General features: G+C 42.9%; 2 protein-coding genes, 1 long non-coding RNA gene and 1 pseudogene across 11 annotated transcripts in view, besides 1 other annotated feature; 1 reads left to right on the top strand and 3 right to left on the bottom strand.

Annotated features, from left to right (window-relative positions):
- Positions 1-19706, bottom strand: part of GARIN2 (golgi associated RAB2 interactor family member 2) — a 39119-nt gene extending 19413 nt beyond the window's left edge. For 4 of the 7 annotated variants that reach the window (XM_047431033.1, NM_173526.4, XM_011536500.2 and 1 more), the window contains exons 1-6: positions 19577-19706; positions 11789-11875; positions 10826-11010; positions 5853-6052; positions 4057-4609; positions 697-944 (exon numbers count right to left, since the gene is read on the bottom strand). In XM_047431033.1, coding sequence (XP_047286989.1) covers positions 697-944; positions 4057-4609; positions 5853-6052; positions 10826-10984 — 1160 coding nt within the window. In that variant the 5' untranslated portion in view covers positions 10985-11010; positions 11789-11875; positions 19577-19706. Of the gene's footprint in view, positions 1-696; positions 945-4056; positions 4610-5852; positions 6053-10825; positions 11011-11788; positions 11876-12116; positions 12193-19576 lie in introns of those variants that run through there. The other 3 variants (XM_047431034.1, XM_011536503.3, XM_047431031.1) reach the window with 2 other exon arrangements.
- GPHN (gephyrin) overlaps positions 1-22882 on the bottom strand; it is a 1227209-nt gene that overhangs the window by 526210 nt on the left and 678117 nt on the right. The window lies entirely within an intron of this gene.
- Positions 8594-10105, bottom strand: SF3B4P1 (splicing factor 3b, subunit 4 pseudogene 1; annotated as a pseudogene).
- LOC105370538 (uncharacterized) overlaps positions 19782-22882 on the top strand; it is a 116677-nt gene continuing 113576 nt past the window's right edge. For all 3 annotated transcript variants that reach the window (XR_007064215.1, XR_001750990.2, XR_007064216.1), the window contains exon 1: positions 19782-19913. This is a non-coding gene — a long non-coding RNA (uncharacterized LOC105370538). The remainder of the gene's footprint in view (positions 19914-22882) is intronic.
- Positions 21620-21914: an enhancer, noted in NCBI's record as "tiled region #5377; HepG2 Activating non-DNase unmatched - State 8:EnhW, and K562 Activating DNase matched - State 9:DNaseU". NCBI's record gives its function as "activates a minimal TATA promoter and a strong SV40 promoter by Sharpr-MPRA in HepG2 and K562 cells {active_cell/tissue: HepG2 | K562}" and the evidence as "EXISTENCE:reporter gene assay evidence [ECO:0000049][PMID:27701403]".

The following is a 22882-nucleotide window of genomic DNA, read 5'->3' as shown; positions in this document are numbered from 1 at the left end:
TGAGTGAATCACGTAAACTCTGCCATTGAAAATTACTTTTATTGTATCAGCGGACAATAAATGATCTTTCCTCTGTAAATGAGGCAATGATACCATTTCATTTTCTTCTGGCTCATTTTAGTTTTAAAATAACTTACTCTTTTCCTATCTGAAATTTTTTTATGGTACATCATAAATCTTTGACCAACATTTTCCTAGAATTTTGCTTTTTCCGTGCTTCTTTTTTTTTTCTTTTCTTTTTTTTTTTTTGAGACAGAGTTTTACTCTGTCACCCAGGCTGGAATGCAGTAGCGTGATCTTGGCTCACTGCAACCTCTGCCTTCTGAGTTCAAGCAATTCTCCTGCCTCAGCCTCCCGAGTAGCTGGGATTACAGGTGCCCGCCACCGCGCCTGGCTAATTTTTGTAGTTTTTAGTAGAGACAGGGTTTCACCATCTTGGCCAGGCTGGTCTTGACATCAGGTAGACAGCCCAGAATGCCAGCTGAGTAACGTGACAAGTTGCCATGAAAATAAAAATTAGCCAAAGTTGAACCAAATGTGGGTCATTCAGAGTTGACTATATCATCATTCAGTTACACTACATCTGTCTCTGAGAATCTTCAGTGGCAGATGCCTGAGTTAAGAGACTAAAGCACATATTTCTTTATTAATATTTCATGTCTTAGAATTCCTTTGGCATGTTCCTGCCTCACATACCTGGATTCTTCAGCCTTGAGAGCTGTGCTCTGAAAATCAGGCATCTTTTCTTCAGAGGTCTTATCCTTCATCTCCTTGGATGTATTTGCCTCACTTTCTACTGGGGTCAAGGTAGTTTGAAAATATCTTTTACCTTCAAAAGTCAGTGTTATGTTTGAGATGGTGACATGTTTTGAGGATTCTTTCAACTCACTCTTACTTTTTGTATCTTGTAAACACCCAGGCTTCAGAATGTTTTTCAATTTTTCCTTTAAAAATAAAAAGCAGCAGCAAATCAGGTAACAGAAGAGCATCAGGTAATAGGTGTTTGTGGAACAGTATCGAATACAGGCACCATTTCATTCATCGTCACTGAGCACCCGTGAGGAGTAGTAAGGAGGGAGTGAGGCTTAGAATGGCACGACCATTGGGAGAGCCCCGGGTGTGTTGGCGGCAGGCTGTGTGGGAGCCAGGGACTGCGCCACTGCAGCCTGACACATGTTCCCCAGCTCGTGTTGTCACTTCACAGAAGACAGTTGGCATCTAATTACAGTACTTCTCTGTGAATTGTCAGCACAAGAAAAGTTTCCCAGAAATGCCACTGATTCCCCAGTCTGAGTTTGGTCTTAATTAGAGCATCTGATAGGTTACAGGGGCTGGGGGCTCATAATATAAAAGAAATTTTTTTTTGTCAAAAGACTTAGAACCTGTATCTAAAACTTAATACTCTAAAATCCCCCCCTCCTCCTAATTTCCCAATTTCTGTTAATGTCTCACCTCTCCTAGCCACTCTCTGATTCGCTCAGAATCACTTAGGGCTCAAGGCAGTTGGTCAGCAGGCCCTAAAGCCAACTTTCTAATGTCCTTCATGTCTGCACCTTCTTCTTTCCACTGCCCCTGCCTAGTCCATTACTTCTTGATATGGTTTGGATGTTTTGTCACTTGAAAATCTCATGTTGAAATGTGACCTCCAATGTTGGAAGTGGGCCTAGTGGGAGGTGTTTAGGTCTCGGGGGCAGATCCCTCATGAATGGCTTGGTGCTGTCCTCACCATAATGAGTGAGTTCTCACTCTAAGTTGATGCGAGATTTGGTTGTTTAAAAGAGCCTGGCACCTCCTTCCTCTCTCTTTTGCTCTCTCTCTGGCCATGTGATGTGCTGGCTCCCCTTCTCTTCCACACGATTGTAAGTTCCCTGAGGCCCTCACCTGAAGCAGATGCCAGCATTGTGCTTCCTTTACCACCTACAGACCCATGAGCCAATTAACCCTCTTTTCTTTATTAATTGCCCAGCCTCAGATATTTCTTTATAGCAATGCAACAATGGCCTAATACACCTCTATTACATTTCCTTAAAAATGATGTAATAATTTTCTTCCTTAAGGATAAAACTTCACTTTTCCCTGACAATGAAAGTCATACATATTTATTATAGCGTATTTGGAAAATCCTATAATGAATAAAGCTAAAGGTAGAATATTTTTGCTTGCCAAGGTGGGTGGATCACTTGAGGCCAGAAGTTTGAGACCAGCTTGGGCAACATGGAGAAACCCCATCTCTACTAAAAATACAAAAATTAACTGGGCGTGTGGTGGGCACCTGTAATCCCAGCTACTTGGAAAGCTGAGGCATAAGAATCGCTTGAACCTGAGAGGTGGAGGTTGCAGTGAGCCGAGATCTCACCACTGCACTCCAGCCTGGGCAACGGAGTGAGACTGTCTCAAAATAATAATAATAATAATAATAAATTATTGCTTGTTTGATGCCACTGCCCAGAAACAACTACTTCTATGCACATTTCACTCTGATCTTTCTATTTATTTTACGTCTACTTAGATCATCTTGAAGTTCTGTCTCCTACCTTTTTCACTTAACATTTTATTATAAGCATTTTCTCCTGTCATTAAAAATTGTGTAGAACTATGTGAATTTTTCCTAATTAAAAATTAGGTTTTTTTGTTTGTTTGTTTGTTTTTTGAGACAGGGTCTCACTCTGTTGCCCAGGCTGGAGTGCAATGGCACAATCTTGGCTCACTGCAACCTCCACCTCCCGGTTTCAAACAATTCTCCTGCCTCAGCCTCCCAGGTAGCTGGGATTACAGGCACCCACTACCACACCGGCTAATTTTTATTTTTTAGTAGAGACAGGGTTTTGCCATGTTGGCCAGGCTAGTCTCAACTCCTGACCTCAGGTGATCTGCCCGCCTCGGTCTCCCAAAGTGCTGGGATTACAGACATGAGCCACTGTGCCCATCCCTACCATCTTTCTTTTCTTTTGTTTTGTGTTTTTTGAGACAGGGTGTGACTGTTACCCAGGCTCCAGAGCAGTGGCATGATCTCGGCTCACTGCACCTTCTGCCTCCAAGGGTCAAGTAATCCTCCCACCTCAGCCTCCCTAGTAGCTGGGACTACAGGCATACACCACCATGGCCAGCTAATTTTTGTATTTTTAGTAGAGATGGGGTTTCGCCATGTTTCCCAGGCTGGTCTCGAACTCCCAAGCTCAAGCAATCCACCTGTCTTGGCCTCCCAAAGTGCCGGGATTACAGATGTGAGCCACTGCACCAGACTTTTTTCTATTGTGGACCTAGAGGAAGTTTTTCAGCAGTAGTCTTCAAACAGATCTCTTTACCTATAATCCATCCTGCCATTAGATTAATCTTTTAAAAACACAGCTCCTTCATTCCCTTACACAGGAGACTTCGGTCACTAACGTTTGCCCAAAGAGTGAAGATCTCATTTTTAAATTTGGCTCTCAAGTTTTTTAAGCAACTTTCCAGTCCTATATTCTACTATTCTCCACATATATTATTCTCTAGCCCAACTGAATGAAACATTTTTGGACGTGACTCTCTGTTTTTCCACTCTCTGGCCTTTTCTAAAGCCACTCACTTTGTTTTGTTTTTTATTATCCTATTTCCATCCTCATGTTTACCCATCGAAATTCCATCCCATCCTTCAAGGTACTGGGTACTGCTATATATTTTTAAACCAGAAATTAACCCTTACATTGTATTAATATCCTTTAGAAGTGGGGAAACTGAGGCTCATGTGGATTCTGTGACTTGGGTGAAGTCACACAAGTAATATGAGCCGCAGGTTGAGAGTCTAACTTGGTTCTGATTCTGATTCCAAAATTCTTTCCATTTCTGATGCTGGGCTAAGATTTATGTTAAGGGTTGTCACTGCCTATTTCAGGAGACATCTTACAACTCCTTTACACCAGGGTTCAGAGATTTAATCTCACTATTAAAATTAGGTTTCTCGGAGTAGGTAGGTTCCATAGCATTTTGATAATCAATGTCAGCTAACCAAGAAGTGTGATCTCGGTAACCCCTCTAGTTCTCGATTATTAAAGCATGAAAGTCTTCAGTGACACATACCTTCTCCTCTTGCTTGGCCCTGATTAAGTCATTGTTTTCAAACACCACTGTGACTCCCGAGCAGTTTGTAATATCAGAGCTGTCTGTGACTTCCGTGGCTTCTCTGACTTCTATGACTTCTGTGACAATTCTTACATCCGGGACCTCTGGGACCTCATTTTCTGGAAGATCTGTGACATCTGTGATGTCGGTGATGTCTGTGAATTCTGGGAAATCTATGCTGTCCCTGACATGTTCAGGGCCTGTACCTGCATACATGTACGGGGTCAGGATGGCTGTGAACGTGGTGACATCCGTCACATCCATGGAGCCTGTGATGTCTGTGCTATTCGTAATTCCTGAGAGACTTGAAACCTCCGACACTTTGGAAACTTTGGCTTTCTCCTGATTCAAGAGGGAGATGAGGGCCACCCATTGAGAAAACAAGGTGTCCTGTTTATATGCAGAGGTGCAGAGCTGTAAGTAGTAGGCTCGACCACTCACCAGCTTTACTTTCAGGCTCATGTTCTCCGCATCATGCACAGAAAGAGTCACAAACTGCAGAGGGAGAAACCTGCAAACAAGCACACGGTAACATCATCTGGAGACCTGATGGGAGGCTTATAAAAAGGCCTTTCTTATATATATATATATTTGTTTGTTTGTTTTGAGACAAGTTCTCACTCTGTTGCCCACGTTGGAGTGCAGTGGTGATGCGATCATGGCTCACTGCAGCCTCGACTTCCTGTGCCTAAGTGGTCCTCCCACCTCATCCTCCTGAGTAGCTGGGACAACAGATATGTACCACCAATGCCTGGCTAATTTTTGCATTTTTTTGTAGAGACAAGGTTTCACCATGTTGCTCAGGCTGGTCTTGAATGCCTGGGCTCAAGCAATTCACCTGCCTTGGCTTCCCAAAGTACTGGGATTACAGGTGTGAGCCACCATGCCCAGCCTCTTTCTTATATTTTATAGTAGTTTGAAGAGTGAGACTCAAGACACCAGACTTGCCTCCCAGATAGGTCTGGGTAGGGGCTCCTGAGAACCATCTCATCTTAATCATATGCCTAAGGCTCTGATGTATAAAAACGTCTGAATGGGCTGGGTGCAGTGGCTCACGCCTGTAATCCCAGCACTTTGGGAGGCCAAGGCGGGTGGATCACCTGAGGTCAGGAGTTCAATACCAGCCTGACCAATATGGTGAAACTCTGTCTCTACTGAAAATACAAAAATTAGCTGAGCGTGGTGGTGTGTGCCTGTAGTCCCAGATACTCGGGAGGCTGAGACAGGAGAATCGCTTGAACTGGGAGGTGGAGGTTGTAGTGAGCCAAGATCGTGCCATTGCACTCCAGCCTGGGTGACAGTGCAAGACTCCATCTCAAAAACAAAACACGTCAGAATGTCAATTATTTACCATGAGAAAGCGTCCATTTAAATTAATCCTTCAAAGTTGACTTAAAGTTAAGCAATTTGCTCATGATCATAGACCAAGTTAGTGGCTGAGACAGGACCAGAGCTAATTCTGCTGGAAGCTGGGATGCTGTGGAAGAGGAGGCATGTTCTAGAAAGGTAGTTTATTATGAGTCTTCAGTTCCTGTTAATTAGATTTAGTTTTTTAAAAATTAACTGCCTGTTGGATACCCATTGTCATACATGATTTCACCCGTCTTCAAGGATGCTCCTCTTTGTCATTTGCAGCAGGGAGTGCGAGTAACATGCTCCACTGGCGCAATTGTCATCAGTGTTTCCGTTTTCAGATCCACAGGGCTAATGCACATCTTCTGAGAGATCTTTAACCTCTTCTCTTTGTAACTCACCTGGTGAGCACTAGTTTCTCTGCAGGAGGAGATGTCAGGAGACTTTTAAACAGGGTTTCTGTATCTTTTTGGGCACCAGGTGTCAGATGGGCCAGTAGCATCACATTGGGGATCTTGTGGGTGGAGCTGGAAAAACAGATGCCTACGGTCACCCAGTTGGCTCGGTTATGAAGGTAAATGGATTCACCTCTTCTGTTGACCTGAGTGCAGAAAACAGGAAAAGGCGTTATATGATGAAATGTGTGGCTTTGACAACCTTGCTTGCCTGAGAAGTGTAAGAGAGGGTAGGAAATAAAGGAGGAATGAACCATGATATATTTGTTCCTTCACTTGCTCATGCTAATTCTTGGAGATACCGCAGGGAACAGACACAGCCTCTGACCCATGGGGGCCTACCAGGGAAGGCAAACATTAAACAATTTAAGTATGTGACTAATTATTACTATAAGAAGTTTTACCAAGTACAAGTCCAGGATGTTACAGGAGCACATAACAGAGGACTTGACTTAGCTTAGAGTGGGGAGACAGGCAGTGATGTTCTGGTAACAGTTAGGTCTTGGGAGGTACACACATTTACACATAAGTTTAAAGTGTTACTGACATAAAAGACAAGTAGCATACAAATTTACAAATAATATGCAATATTCTTTAGTCTTTAGTTTAAATTCCATAGAGCCAATTAATAAATTCCACAAACTCTTGCCAAACTCTTCTTATATTTATAACCTTAGAAGTATAGACAACAGTAAAATGTAGTAAAAGAATAGGAATGATGAGTTTTGAATATTTATTGCCCTTATTTTAGATATAATGTAAGTTTATAAAATTTAATTTTTAAGAATTTAATTTTTTTTTAGGTGCAGTCTCGTTCTGTTGCCCAGGCTGGAGTGCCATGGGTGATCTCGGCTTACTACAACCTCTGCCTCCCAGGTTCAAATGATTCTCCTGTCTCAGCCTCCCAAGTAGCTGGGATTACAGGCACATGCCACCAAGCCCGGCTAATTTTTGTATTTTTAGGAGAGACGGGGCTTCACCATGTTGGTGGGGCTGGTCTCGAACTCCTGACCTCGGGTGATCCACCCACTTTAGCCTACCAAAGTGCTGGGATTACAGGCGTGAGCCGCTGTGCCTGGCCTATAATTTAATTTTTAATAATGGCTGTGTTTAACAACTGACTTGCAAATTTCCTGAACACGTACCAATCGACCAGTTCTGGCACACCCCTGGATATGGACTCATGGAAGTCTCCCCTGAGGAAGAGACCTCTAGCTGATACCTGAACTATGTGGGAAATAAACTGGCTGGGTTGAGAGGAGAGGTTTCCAGGCAGAGGAACAGCATGTATAAAAACCCTGAAGTCCAAGAAACTTGGCCAGTAAAATCTCTGCCACTTGGTAGAAGAAGAGACTGGAGGATGGGCAGACAGGGAAATGAAGGAAGGCAGAGAGGAGCTACACTGTAGTTTCTCAGCTGTATGATAATTGGTTCAATTAAAAAATACATCATTGAAAGAAAGAGGTTGTAGCTCACACTATTGATAACTTACCCAAACTGTGCCCCTCTTCTTCTGGATTAACAGAATCCTGGTTTTGTCCAATATCATGGCTCAGGGATGATGACCCAGCTCAGGGATTAAATCCTGATTAACTTAAATGGGTAGTGGTGGTTCCACTCCACACCCCTTGCCAGTGACTGGTTTCAGCAGTGGCATGTGACCAGCAAGACATACAGGAGGTATCCTCCAACCCTGGAAAACGTTTCTCAGAGCCACCAGGAGACAGAGCCACCAGGATGAGATGAATATCTTCTACTGCTGGCAGCTATCATTGTCCTGTTTAGATGTGAGGCCCTGAGGGGAGCTGGCTTGAAGGTGACAGAGCAAAAAGAGAGAATTGGGGTCTTCTACTGGGAGTGAGCTGATGCCCTGGGGCTCTTTCACTCTATTTGAGATAATTGCTCTCTTTTAAATTTTTTTAAAAATATTTATTTGTTTGTTTTTAGAGACAAAGTCTTGTCTTATCATCCAGGCTGGAGTGCAGTAGCGCCATCCTAGCTCACTGCAGCCTGGAGCTCCTGGGCTTAAGCAATCCTCCCTCCTCAGCCTTCCGAGTAGCTAGGAATACAGGTGTGCAGCACTGCACCCTGCTAATTTTTAAAAGTGTTTTTAGAGATGGGATCTCACTTGTTGCCCAGGTCAGTCTTGAACCTGGCCTCAAGCGATCCTCCTGCCTTGTCCTTTCAAAGTACTGGGATTATAGCCATGAGCCACTGCACCCAGCCTAATTGTTTTTCTTTTTTCATTTAAACCTGTTCAGTCAGGAATCTTGGTAACTTGCTGCCAAAGACATGCTAACCAGGTGGGGTTGTGCATCTTGAAGGATATGAGTTATCAAATTACGATGGGGGCAACGTCTGACCTATAGACTGCTAACTACCCCCAATGTTGGACAAGTACTATGTAATTTTATTAGAGTGTGCAAAAGGTAACTAACTTGGAAACAGCACAGGATGAAAGGTGAAAAAATGAAAACATTATTAGTAGGAAAGAAGTATGTATAAGGTAAAGTACATCAAATCATGACTTGTCACATGCGTTCTAGGGACATCAGTAAAACATTAGATGTTTTGGGAGGTTTCACCTCCTGCCTATGGTATACTGGAGGTGGGTAGCTCACACTAGTACTCAAGTATGAGTGCAGAGAACGTGTTAATGGAAGATGAAGTCTCCTTACATTTTTTTTTAAACAAGGAGTTTAGTTTTATTTTCTCTGTGCATTTGCAAAATACTCAGGACCAACATAAAAAAGAAATACCTCCTGTGGAAAAAGTTACATTAAAAAGGGGAATGGGGTGGGGGTGCTGAAAGGGATTAGTGCCTTAGCCCCAAGGAGCTACAGCATCTCTGATTGGTCCAAGGTATCGAAAAGATATTGGGAAGATGTAATAGGAGGAAGGAAAATGTGAATTTACTGAGGGAGAGGGCTCCAAAGCGGGCCTCGAGGGGCAACTGGTGGCTGGGGAGTGGGCCTGGTTGGAGGGAGAGGCTGGTAGCCATAGGGTGTGGGTTGTGGAGGGCCAGTGTATCCATGGGGGGCATCAGTGGAGGAAGTCCACGCATACCATGTGGAGGCATAGGACCTGGGTGACCCATGGGAGATCAGAATGGAGGCCTTCGGGGGGGCATGCCCATTGGAGGAGGTCCAGGATAAGGCATTCCAGGTGGTGGTTGGGGTGGTGGCTGTCCCCCAGAGCCTGGGTGTCCAGAATGGGGATGTCCTAAACCATGAGGTCCATGGTGTGCCAGCTGCATCTGAGACATCCCTGGATGGGGCACTCCTCCTGGTGGGAATGGGTGAGCTTGGGAGTGTCCATGACCAGGATGTCCTGCCCCTGGGGTTCCTGCCGATGGGGGGCCATGTCCTGCAGCCCCAGGAGGCATAGGTGGTGGGGCATGGCTGGGGGTATCCCAGGTGGGAGGGCTCCAGGAGGCAGCACTGGGGGTGGGAAGGAGCCAGGAGGAGGCATGCCTGGTGGAGGAAGCCCAGACCCCAATGATGATACCACAGGATTGGGGGCAGAGGGTGAAGGAGGTGCATCTGCAAACAGCTGATGAGGGCGGTCAGGCTGGGAGAGCGGGTTCTGAGCTGCCAGAAGTCGTCCAGCTGCTAAGCCATGGCGCTCACCCTTGGAGTCCTTCTCGAAGGCATAAGATACGGTGATAGGGTGGTTACAGAGGTACTGCCCATTCATGGCTTCAATTGCTGCAACTGAAGCATCAAATGAAGCAAAATTAATAAAGGCATAACCTTTGGAGTTGCCTGTGTCAGGGTCCCACATAATCTTGGGGGTTTGTAAGATGACCCCAAAGGCGCTGAAAGTATCATAAAGCAACTTCTCATCAATCTCAGGGTCCAGGTTCCCATTGAAAATGTTGGCCCCTACATCCAGGTTTTTGTTGTGAGCTGATGCCTTGTTCACCCGTATTGGCTTCCCATAGAGTCTGATCATGTTCATGATCTTAATGGCATAGTCAGCATCATCCTCACTCAAGAATTCACAAAGTCATAGCCTTGGTGCTGGCCAGTGACTCTATCCTTTGGCATGTGGGTGTTGACTACTGGTCCAGCCTGGAGAAACAGTTCCCACAGTAGCGGTTCACTAACCTTCTCATTCAGGCCCCCCACGTACACAGTGGCATCCTGGTTCCGCTCGGAGATCGGCCTGGTAGCCATGGCAAAAGAGCTCCTGCCATCCTCTTCTTGCCTTTTGAAGTGTCTGTTGTCCTCCCTTGTCACCCCTCTGTGAAATCAGCTGAGCAGCTTCTCGAATGTATTAAGAGTTAGAGGTAATAGCTCAGTGTTTAGTGTTAGACTTTGTTATGGAATTTCTAGGAACTTTAGAGGTATGACCCCTATCATTGAACTCATTTCACCATTTCTTTGTCTGAATATTTTAATGTTGAATGTTTAGAGAAAAGTTAGCATTGCTCCCAAATGCATAGAAATGCAGTTTCATTCATAATGTAGGGACATTCTTATGAGAAGGGAGCTTTTCTCCCCGACACCATCTGACAATTTACCTTCAGAACTAGGAGTTAAGATTCATTGTAATCCCTAGTCATAGATGTTCTTTAGAATGTCTTCTACGCCTAAGAAAGAAGTTATCTGTATGTTTCCCTGTGGCGGGAAATGCCAAAAACGGCTTCATGTAATTTTGGGAAGATTATGATGGAATGGCAATTATGGTAGAGTTAAGACAGAAGTCCTTCACAAGAGTTTTGGGGACATTTGAAGTAAATGTCCTTTAACATTGTAATTATTTCAGGTTTTTTAAAGTTCCCAAACTGTTCTCTTTTGTAGTATCACACATTCCCTCGGCACATTTAAAACAATTCTCCTACCATCCTTTTCAGTTTTCTTTGAGAAAATTACTGAAGTTATTGGAACTTAACTCAGGCCTTGAATATGATTTACCTGGATAAAATTGCTCTCTAACATGGGAGGAGATACAAAAGGGGCATACTCTCCTCCATCCAACATATTTTGAAGATCTCTCGGATCATGGGAGTGTGGGGTGCAGAGAGCATCTTGCTTATTGATCCTCATGGTAGTCTTGCTGGTGTTCTTCTTCATTGCGCTTGCACATAAACATAAAAAAACTGAGGGAATGGAAACACAATTAGTGGATACAGAGAGAATTTAATATCATAATTAAGTTGCTTCATTTATTTATTAATTCAGCAAATTTTATCAATATCTGTGATATGCTTGGCACTGCACCAGGCACTTGTATTAATACATACATCTAAACAGGACTGATAAGATCTCTGCCCTCATTCAGCTTACACTCTATGGGGAGACAGGTAGTAAGCAAGCCAAAAGAAACTCAGACAAGATGTTGGATGATAGGGACTATCAGGACTTGAAAACAGATACATATAGTAAAAAATGACCAGAGTATAGGGCTGGAGACACCTATTAGGGTAGCAGGAAAGGCTTCTCTAGGAGGTCTCTCAATATATTCCCCCACAGACCATTATTTTCTATCTTCCAAATTGATGGTACCCTCTTCATCATGCAGGATTCTCCAATCCCTTTTTGTAAGCAGGGTATCAAAGCTATACTAAACTGAGAACACTTTTTCCAGACTATTCACCCATAACTGAGGCTTAGCTCTTGGTTGCGCGCTCCTTATGAGACTCTAAGTCGGTGGAAAAATTGCCTTCCACAACACTGGTCCCTGCTGCCAAGGGGACCACTGATATAGGCAGCATCTTCAGTATATTAAGTCTCCAGGAGAGAGAAAGAAGAAAATAAATCTTGGAAAGTAAAGTAAGTAGAAGAAGGAAGAGGGAAAGGAAGGAAAAGAGAAAAGGGCAGGAGAGGATGTGGCCATGCAGCCCACATGGTTTATCTGTAAGAACCATCAAATCTCACCTCAACTCAGGCCGAGCCACAGTCCTCTCTAGGAGATGAAGTTTTTAACTCACTTCAGTTTGAGCTTCCTCCTTTTCATGATGAAATCTTTTGTAAAAGAAACAACAAAAAGAAAATCAAATGTATACAGGCCAGGCACAATGGCTCACACCTATAATCCCAGCACTTTGGGAGGCCAAGATGGGCCGCTTACTTGAGCCCAGGAGTTTGAGAACAGCCTGGGCAACATAGCAAGATCTTGTCTCTACAAAAAATACAGAAATTAGCCAGGTGTGGTGGTGCATGCCTATAGTTCCAGCTACTTGGGAGGTTGAGGTGGGAGGATCACCTGAGCCTGGGAGGTTGAGGCTACAGTGAGCTATGATCTTGTCACTGCACTCCAGCCTGGGCATCAGAGCGAGAGCCTGTCTCAAAAAGAAAAAAAAAGCACTAATTTGTATACAAAAGAAACTAATTTCAATTCTAAACCTTACTGTTATTTCAAGTGTGAGGTCAAGGCCTCAGAAAGAGTTAGAGTTCTTGTAAGTATACTGGGTAGGTGAAGCGGAGTCCGAGGCTGCTGTCTATGTCTGAGCTGAGCTGTTGTTGATGATCCTCACCGTGGTCTTTTGGTGAGTGGAACCAGAGTCATGAGTCCATAGCTCATAATTGGCCTGAAACTGCCAAACAGTGGAATCCTGAGCTCCTATGGCCAATGAGGATATTTGATAATGTGGCAAAGGAAGCAGTACAGACTGTATTACCTGGGTTGCATTTAATTGCTGTTTAAAGTGTGCTCCTTACGATTACCTGAAAACCTTTTGTTGACATCTTCTAGTAAGATTAAGAAAGCTCCTGGCCAGGTGCAGTAGCTCACGCCTATAATCCCAGCACTTTAAGAGGCCAAGGCGGGCAGATCACCTTAGGTCAGGAGTTCAAGATCAGCCTGGCCTGGCCAACGTCGTGAAATCCTGTCTCTACTGAAAATATAAAAATTAGCCTGGCATGGTGACAGGTGCCTGTAATCCCAGCTATTCGGGAGACTGAGGCAGGAGAATCACTTGAACATGAGAGGTGGAGGTTGCAGTGAGCCAAGACTGTGCCAATGCACTGCAGGCTGGGCGACAAGAGCAAAACTCCATCAAAAAAAAAAAAGAAAGAAAGAAAAGAAAAGAAAGGAAAGAAAAAGAAAGCTCCAGTATGAAACTTGTCAGAGGCTTAGAAGAAGGTCCTAAAGACTAGAGTGGAGCCCTTTAAGAAATGCACAGAGGATGATGGCACAGGAACAACAGCTAGATATTGTGTGGGAAAATTCCCATAGAAAGCATTATTTAGGAGGCCAAGGTGGGTGGATCACCTGAGGTCAGGAGTTCGAGAACAGCCTGGCCAACATGGCGAAACCCCATCTCTACTAAAAAACACAAAAATTAGCCAGGTGTGGTGGCATGCACCTGTAGTCTCAGCTACTTCTAAAGGCCTCTCTAGGAGGTCTCTCAATATAGGCCCACTTGGGAGGCTGAGGCAGGAGAATTGCTTGAACCCGGGAGGCGGAGATGGCAGTGAGCTGAGATCGTGCCACTGCACTCCAGCCTGGGCGACAGAGCAAGACTCTGTCTCAAAACACACACACACACACACACACACACACACACACACACACACACAACCAAAAAGAAAGCATTAAGTTCTATAATTAGCAGCATGTTTCCTTTCTTAGTGGCACATAAAATAATAATATATCTTATAATTGGTGTATCTTAGATTTGAGGAGATGCAGTAGTCAACTCTTGTTCATACAGAGTTAAGTGAAAGAGTGCACATTTTGGAAAAACAATTCACTCTGAGAAAATGAAAATACTGCATACTGGAGGGTGTGTCTACGGTTCACACTTGCTAATCAGGATATGCCACATGGCTGCTGGGATAGCGAAAGGCCCTTTCCACTGCTGTCATTTAGGAGATCTCCAGAATCCCTTGCATCTGAGAATTCTCCTTCCAGAGAGCAAAGAGTGGATGATCTCCCAGGGGAAAAGGTGTAGCTGTGGATTCAGGACACAGAGAGGGAGGAGGAAATGAGAGAAAAGGAAGGAATTCAAGGATATTTGCAGCCACGACTGGGTCTCGCCCCTCTTCCTTTTTGAACAAAGTTGAGGTTAGCTGAGGAGCAGAAAGTGTTAACAGGCTCTTTTATCAACTTTGCTGTGATGTTCTAAATAATTGTTCTGGAATTATTTTTACACTTTTGGATTATGCATATAGCTGAGAAGTGTGTGCTAAATTTTGCCTGGTTTTGTTGTAACTGTGATTTGAGATACCTGTGCACTACACCCCTCACCCCACCAACATCTCCAATTATCCTAGTTAATTAGTCCAGGCTTGGGCGTGGTGGCTCACACCTGTAATCTTAGCACTTTGAGGCTGAGAGGGGCACGGTGGCTCACGCCTATAATCCCAGCACTTTAAGAGGCCAAGGTGGGCAGATCACCTTAGGTCAGGAGTTCAAGATCAGCCTGGCCAACGTTGTGAAACCCTGACTCTACTGAAAATATAAAAATTAGCCTGGCATGGTGACAGGTGCCTGTAATCCCAGCTACTCGAGAGACTGAGGCAGGAGAATCACTTGAACATGGGAGGTGGATCACCAGGTCAGGAGTTCGAGACCAGCCTGACCAACAAGGTGAAACCCCATCTCTACTAAAAATACAATTAACCAGGTGTGGTGGCGCATGCCTGTAATCCCAGCTACTTGGGAGACTGAAGCAGGAGAATCTCTTGAACCCGGGAGGCGGAGGTTGCAGTGAGCCAAGATTGTGCCACTGCACTCTAGCCTGTGTGACAGAGCAAAACTCTGTCTTGGGGGAAAAAAAATAGTTTAGGCTCTTAAAACAGAGGGATGGTTCTGTGAAGCCATCATTTTGGCCACAGCACACACACACACACGCCCCCCTCATCATCGTATATTTTACCAATGGTAAAGTACATTAACTATTTACTAGGTTCACTCTTTTTTTTTTTTTCTACAGGTCTTGCTCTGTCACCCAGGCTGGAGTGCAATGGAGTGATCTTGGCTCACTGCAGCCTTGACTTCCTGGGCTCAAGTGATCCTCCCACCTCAGCCTCCCGAGTAGTTGGGACCACAGGCCTGTGCCATCACACCTGGCTAATTTATGTATTTTTTTGTAGAGACGGGATTTCACCATGTTGCCCAGGCTGGTCTCGAACTCCTGAGCTCAAGCAATCTGCCCACCTCGGCCTCCCAAAGTGCTAGGATTATAGGTGTGAGTCACTGTGCCTGGCCTTAGGTTCACTATGAATATCTGGAGACAGTATTCAAGTTTTGGTATATGTCTTTCCAGTTTTACAAATAGATTTTTCACTTAATTTCTTTCTTTCTGTTTTTTTTTTTGTTTTTCGTTTTTTTTTTGTTTTTTTTTGAGACAGGGTCTTGCTCTGTCACACAGGCTGGAGTGCAGTGGTGTGATCATTGCTCACTGCAGCCTCAACCTCCCCAGCCCAAGTGATCCTCTCACCTCAGCCTCCTGAATAGTTGGCATTACAGGTACACGCTACCATACCCAGCTAATTTTTTTTTTTTTTTTGTAGAAATTGGGTCTTCCTGTGTTGCCCAGGCTGGTCTCAAACTCCTGGGCTCAAGTGATCCACCTGTTTTGGCCTCCCAAAGTGCTGGGATTATAGGCATGAGCCACTGTGCTTGGCCTACTTAATTTCTATATATCTATATCTATATAGATAGATATATTTCTATCTATATATCTATAGATATATATCTATATCTATATATAGATCTATATAGATATAGATCTATATATAGATATATATTTCTATAGATCTATATCTAGATATATATATATGGATATCTAGATATATAGCTATCTGTATCTAGATATCTAGATATCTAGATATATAGAGATCTGTATCTAGATATACAGATATAAATATAGATATATAGATATATATCTAGATATATCTAGATATATCTAGATATATAGATAGATTATATATCTCTATATAGATAGATATCTATATAGAGATATATAGATATCTATATAGAGATATATAGATAGATGTCTATATAGAGATATATAGATAGATGTCTATATAGAGATATATAGATAGATGTCTATATAGAGATATATAGATAGATGTCTATATAGAGATATATAGATAGATGTCTATATAGAGATATATAGATGTCTATATAGAGATATATAGATAGATGTCTATATAGAGATATATAGAGAGATATCTATATAGAGATATATAGAGATATAGATAGATATATGGATATATATAGATATAGAGATATATCTATATCTAGATATTGATAGAGATATATCTATATCTAGATATTGATATATAGAGATATATAGAGAGATCTATATCTAGATATCGATATATAGATATATAGAGATATTTATCTAGATATCTATATATACATATATATCTATATATATCTAGATATCGATATCTAGATATATATCTATATATCTATATATATCTGTATATCTATATATAGATATATATATAGATCTGTACATATAGATATCTATATCTATATATACACACACATACATATATATGTAATATATGTTAAAATATGTGTAATATATATTAATATATCCCCATAACATTAAATTTTTTTTTTAAAACAGCAGCTATCAATCATGGTGTCAAGCTATTTGGAACATGACAATGTCTTGTAAAGAGTGGCAAAATAATTGTGGCCAGTGGTTAAACTGATGCTTAAGAAATGATTTTATTTAAAAAGAAACAGATGGTTTCTGGGTTCTCTCCTGATAAGCTCCTTGCACTCTGCTTTGCCTTCTCGGTGTGCGGGCACAGTAGAGACAGGCAATCAAGCCTGAGAATCAGTTCAGACCCCACCCTCTGATCCAATCACCTTACTAAGATATCATAATTAACTTTGGTGACTCAAAAATACATGTTGATTGTTCAAGGTGTTAGGTAGGGAAATAAAAGAAAGAAACAAACAAAACTACTTGTTGAATGAAAGTGAGAATTAAAGCAGGGTTGTTATGGGCTATCATGGAAACACAGAGCTAGCTCCATGGCACAGACACATGGAATCTTTTGTCACAAGTTATTCTATCACGATTGTGTATTAATCTTCACAATCATAGCTTATATTTTTCCAACAATGTTTGCCTTTTGCTAGGCCCATTCAATGTCCTATTCATCTAATTAAGCAGGCAGGATGCAGAGCTATGTTGCAGGGAAGGGCTTTTGCTGCGCTGCAGAGCGAGGGTGGCACAAAGAATGGAGTTTTATTTGAGATGGATGAGCTCGTTCTAGCACTAGCTGATCCCTTGCGGTCTCTGTTACTTCTTTTAACCAGTACTTTTTCTCCCCCTCAATCCTTTCTCTTGTTTTTCAAGTTCCAACTGAATGGTGATTCATTCAGCAGACAGCTACATTAGGTTGTACGTTTCTGCAGAATTACAGTATAGTTTTCATTTGACAAAGTGTAGTTGGCTACTTTTAGTAAAAGAAAAGAGAGATTCCTTATTAAATCTGATTACAGATCGGAAACCAACGCTAGTTCTTCTGTAGGAAAACCAAGCAATGTGCTGTATGTGTTTCAAGAGGGAGCCACTTCAGCTGCTCTCTAGACGTTCCATGGTGTCGTCAGGGCTTCCCTATCTGTGTATACTGTTTCAAGGATGATCAAGGCTCCATTAGGGCTGAGAACTACTATTCTTAGATACGGATATGGGATTGTTCACCCTGTGGTAGGGGTGGGGTGCCTTTATTTTCCTGGGGATAAATGCAGTCATCTGGAAATTTTTGGAAATGTGACAGCTTGAGTGTTCATGGCCATTGGGAAGGGGAGAGAGTGGGAATCTGAAAAGCCAGTGTTGCACTGTCTTGGTTGGCTTTTCTGACTGCCTAATTCAGAGGGATGTCTGTACATGCCCCTAAAATGTCCTCTACAAATGTTTCCTGTTGACCATTACCATGTGGTCTTTTCCCTCCAATATTTTATTATAAAAAGTTTCAAACCTCTGGCAAAGTTGAAAGATTTCTATAGTGAAACCAACTACCTGGATTCTGGGTCTTTTTACTGTGTTATTTGTCTGTAATTACATGATGGCTGTTTTTTTTTGAGACGGAGTCTCGCTCCATCACCCAGGCTGGAGTGCAGTGGTGTGATCTTGGCTCACTGCAACCTCTACCTCCTGGGTTCAAGTGATTCTCATGCTTCAGCCTCCTGAGTAGCTGGGATTAGAGGCGCCCGCCACCATGCCTGGCAAATTTTTGTATTTTTAGTAGAGACAAAGTTTTGCCATGTTGGCCAGGCTGGTCTTGAACTCCTGACCTCAGGTGATCCACCTGCCTCAGCCTCCCAAAGTGCTGGGATTACAGGCATGAGCCACTGCACCTGGCTACATGATAGCTCTTAAATGACAGCATTTACCTGTCACTCATTAAAGCTGTTCTCTGTGCTCCTTGGAGCTTTGAGGTTAATTATTCCCAGCACTTTGAAGTGTGGCATTTACCTGGGTGATTTTTCCCAAGATTCTTACTATACTAATAAACATATTTTTAGGCTAGGTCCAGCACAATTCTAGGTTGCAGTTCTGGTTGCACCTTTGCAGGAGTCTAACTGTTGTGGCTTCTATCTCTTGAAAATGATATCCCCATGCCCAACCTTTCAGCTTTGAAGAGAAAGCCTTGTGTTCTGAATCTTTGAAATATTTGAGTAATTAAAAAGGGCTGTTTCCCCCAAAATTTACTCAATTCTCAGTCTTTGAGAATTTTTTCTTATGGAAGAAAAAATTGGGATAACAGTCTGAAAAATCAAAATTTCAAAACAGGCCGGGCACAACGGCTCACGCCTGTAATCCCAGAACTTTGGGAGGCCAAGGCAGGTGGATCTCTTGAGGTCAGGAGTTCGAGACCAGCCTGGCCAAATGGCGAAACCCTGTCTCTACTAATATTACAAAAATTAGCCAGGCATGGTGGTGTGTACCTGTAGTCCCAGCTACTTGGGAGGCTGAGGCACGAGAATGGCTTGAACCTGGGAGGTGGAGGTTGCAGTGGGTCGAGATCGTGCCACTGCACTCCAGCCTGGGCAACAGAGTGAAACTGTGTCTCAAAAAAAAAAAAAAGAAAAGAACAAAAGGCTGGGCACAGTGGCTCACGCCTGTAATCCCAGCATTTTGGGAGGCTGAGGCAGGTAGATCACCTGAGGTCAGGAGTTAAAGACCAGCCTGGCCAACATGTGAAACCCTGTCTCTACAAAAATACAAAAAAAAAAAAAAAAAAAATTAGCTGGGCATGATGGGCGATGCCTATAACCCTGTCTCTACTTAAAAAAAAAATACAAAATTAGCTGGGCGTGATGGCACACACTTGTAATCCCAGCTACTCGGGAGGCTGAGGCAGGAGAATCACTTGAACCCAGGAGGCAGAGGTTGTGGTGAGCCAAGATCGTGCCATTGCACTCCAGCCTGGGTGACAAAGCGAGACTCTGTCTCAAAAAAAAAAAAAAAAAAAAATTAAAAAAAATCCAGAAAACATGCTTTCATTTCAAACTCAAACTCTCAATGAAATTATTTCTAAGAAAAAGAAAAGCAGTCACCAGGTGTTAAGTCTCTCGGCTTTTCAGCTTGTTCTGGTTGAGGTAGAAGAAATGAAACTAGAAGGAGAAGAGGAAGATGGAAAAAAATAGACATTCTGCCCTCGAATTACCAGAATTAATTGAACTATTCATTTCCTTCTCCTTCAGTTTCAAACCCAAGTTGCAGTAATGAGACAGTCACTTACCAACAGGTGGGGCTGAAATAGATCTCTGGAGATCTCCTGGATGTCGACTAGGAAAATAACCTCCAAATAGCACGTTTCCACTCTTTTCACATTTCTTTAGCAGGTGTTTATGTCTACTCAGCAGGCAACTAACCACTTAGTAAAAGAAGCACAGGCCAGGCTGCTCTGGGCATTGTTCTGTTGCTGCTGCATCATAATCATAACGTGCTGACATAGTCTCTGCAGTAAGAGAAGAACGGCACTGGGGAGGAGCAGCCGTGCAGGTCTGCCCCTGAGAGGAAGTGTGGTCAGCATTCCCATGGAGCCCTGACCGGACCGCTCAGGAGTGGGCATTCAGGTGGTGGTGTGAAGTTTTCAGAGGATTTCTTGGAGAGAAAAGTCAATTTAGCAATAGTATAACCACGGGAAAAATATCAGACTTTACATCATTGATCATACAATTGATAATTTATTATTCACTTTCCCTATATCCCAAGTTTCAGAGACTTAAACATATTTAAGGCACTTTGAGCCTCTGTGAAGAAAAGCGTTAAAAGAATATAGCATTTTTAGAGGGAAACTGCTTAGAAACAGAGCTGAGGCCGGGCGCAGTGGCTCATGCCTGCAATCCCAGCACTTTGGAAGAGCAAGGCAGGAGGATTGTTTGAGCCCAAGAGTTTGAGACCAACCTGGGCAACACAGTGATACCCCATTTCTATTGAAAGAAAGAAAAAGAAAGAAAAAGAAAGAAAAGAAAGAAAGAAAGAAAAAGAAAAAGAAAGGAAGAAGGAAGGAAGGAAGGAAGGAAGGAAGGAAAAGAAACTGAGCCGAGGGCTGTATAGCATGAATATTTAATGATATTAGGCTCTGGTGGTGGTTCAATGCACTTGATTGGCTGAGTCTCTTTCTGCACTTGTCCGAGTGGTTCCCCTGTTATTGTCTCAGATGCTCTGTTTCGCCTATTCTATGTTGAGTGCCATCTTTTGGATGGACAAATTCTTCCTCTGGTCATACCTATAGTCCCACTGAGTAAGATTTCTTCATTGAGCATACTTATTGCATGATCACAACTTGCCATGTTCCTGTTCTTCCTGCCCAAGGGCCAGAAAATATTTTTGCATAGATCTGATCTCATCTCTTAACTGTTGATGATATCAATTTAATTCTGCGGTACCTTGATTAAACTTTGGTATTATCTCACGTCCATTTTTTGAGGCTACTGATACATTAAAAAGAGAAGAAATACCAAAAGAAGGAAATAAAAATAATGGTATATTTAAAATATTTACCTTCAAAAGCGTCTTTAAAATGCTTTTAAAGATGCACAAAATATAAAACTGTATGTATAACTTCATTTGGAGATTGTAAGTCTGAATTTGTGGCACTTTGTCAAAGTGAGGTCCGTGAGCAATTAGCCCTCTTTGTCCCTCATGAGATGGGCCTGCCTATTCACGCCTGCATGGGATCTTCTCAGCTGCATGTCCTAAGCTTGGGATATGAAGCTTTCCTGCCACATTCAGTCCCTGGTGAGTGCAATGCAAGGTACATTCTTTTGGTCAGCTCAGTAATGAGTACTTACTATTTCCTGGGCACCATGCCATGCTGGACCACAAAGGTGAACAGTCTCTGCACTCAAGAAGTTTACCATCAAGTGGAGAAGGGGTCATGTAAACAGATTATTTCAGTGTTATGTAGTGATAAGATAGAGGGGTGACAGGGGATTCTAGGAGCACAGATGAAGGGTACTTAGTCCAATTGGAGGATTTAGGGACGGTTTCATGGAGGAGCTAATATCCAAGCTAAATCCTGAAAGATTAGTCAGTCTGAGCAAAGGCACAGAGGCATAAAATGACAGGGTTTGAGGGGTAACTACAAATGGTCTGGTGTTACATAAAGTTGAAGGGTTGAAAGAAAATGAAGTTCACGGAAGAAGAGCCTAGATGATGGAGGGCTTTGAAAGCCATAACTAGGTGCTGGGACTTCATCTGCTCCAGTAGCTCTAATAAAGAGTGTTACATGGAGAGATTTATGTTCTGAATTGATCATTCTGAGAGCAGAGTGAAGGATAGATTTGGGAAGGGCAATTCTGGAGATGCAGAAGCCATGGTAGTGGCAGTGGCAGTGTCAATGGAAAGGAGGGAGTTAACTTGGGAACTATCAGTAGAGTCCACAAAATTTGGTGACTCACTGGGCTTAGGGAGGGAAAAGGTGACTCAGAGGTTTGGGAAGCTGGGTGAATGATGGTGCCATTAACTAGGAAATAAACTACAGGCAGAGGAACAAGTGTAGGAGGCAGAAAGAATGAGGTGCTTGTTTGCAGGAACCCTTGGTTAGCATGGTGCCTTGTATTCAACTGTTTAGTAAATGATTTTTTTATTTTTTAAATTTTCAGTACCTTCCTAATGCTTTTAGAATATGTGTCATGTATCATAAGGTGTGTGTATATACTTAGCATTAACCTCAAGAGCCTGTATATTTGTGAGCACGATCTGGCTCCATCCTGGCTTCAGTTCTTTCCAACTATATTTCAGACCACTTACACCACTCCCTCATCATATTTCTGCCTCCTTCCTGACGTTGCATTCTTTAAGCCGTTTCCTGTCTGAAATGCTCATCTCCTAGCTCTTCACATGTGGGCTTATTTTCGTTTTTCAGAACCCAGCTCAGACGCACCTGTTTAGAGAGCTGTTTCTCAATCACTTGGTCATTGATTGTCTCTCGGCTGCAAATGCACCACGGCATACTCTGCATTGAATTGCTGGAGCTCTGCAAACTACATTTCTCTCTCCAGCTGGCTGTTAGGTTCAATAATAGGTTGCATTAGACCAGATGAGGTTGGAAAATAGGAGGGAAGAAGAGACTTGTGTTCCCTCTAGTTGACCTGCTGTTTCTGTCAGTGTCACCTGGGCAACAGCAACTGGTTCTAGCCTGCATTTTGGTTGTTTTTTGTTTTTGACATTCTCAGAATCAGCAACTGGGCAGCGCCCTCTCGTCAGAGGGCTGAGTCCTGGCTCCATCGGGTCTGACCTCTGAGCTTCTAAGCTGTGATTCCCCTAACCTATCCCTCCCAACTCCCCAGCCCTAGTTGTGGTAGTTGCTTCCTCTAGTTGTCTCTGATATCTGTGTTTCCTCTGTGCTTTTTTTCTAGGCCTCCAACACCTATTTAACATATTCCTGCATTGAAGTCTCTCTGTTGAAATACTTAGTGTGATTTCTGCCTCTTTTTAAATGGCTGGATCCTGACACAACCACTGAATCTGATTTAGGCCTCCACCCAGTCACTGTCTAACACGTCACTGCATGTTCTTCATATACTTTTCCTAACCT

This window comes from Homo sapiens, chromosome 14 (genome assembly GCF_000001405.40).
Source record: "Homo sapiens chromosome 14, GRCh38.p14 Primary Assembly".
NCBI classification, from domain to species: Eukaryota; Metazoa; Chordata; class Mammalia; order Primates; family Hominidae; genus Homo; species Homo sapiens.
The sequence above is the reverse complement of the archived record's forward strand: the minus strand, read 5'-3'. Positions and strand labels throughout refer to the sequence as shown.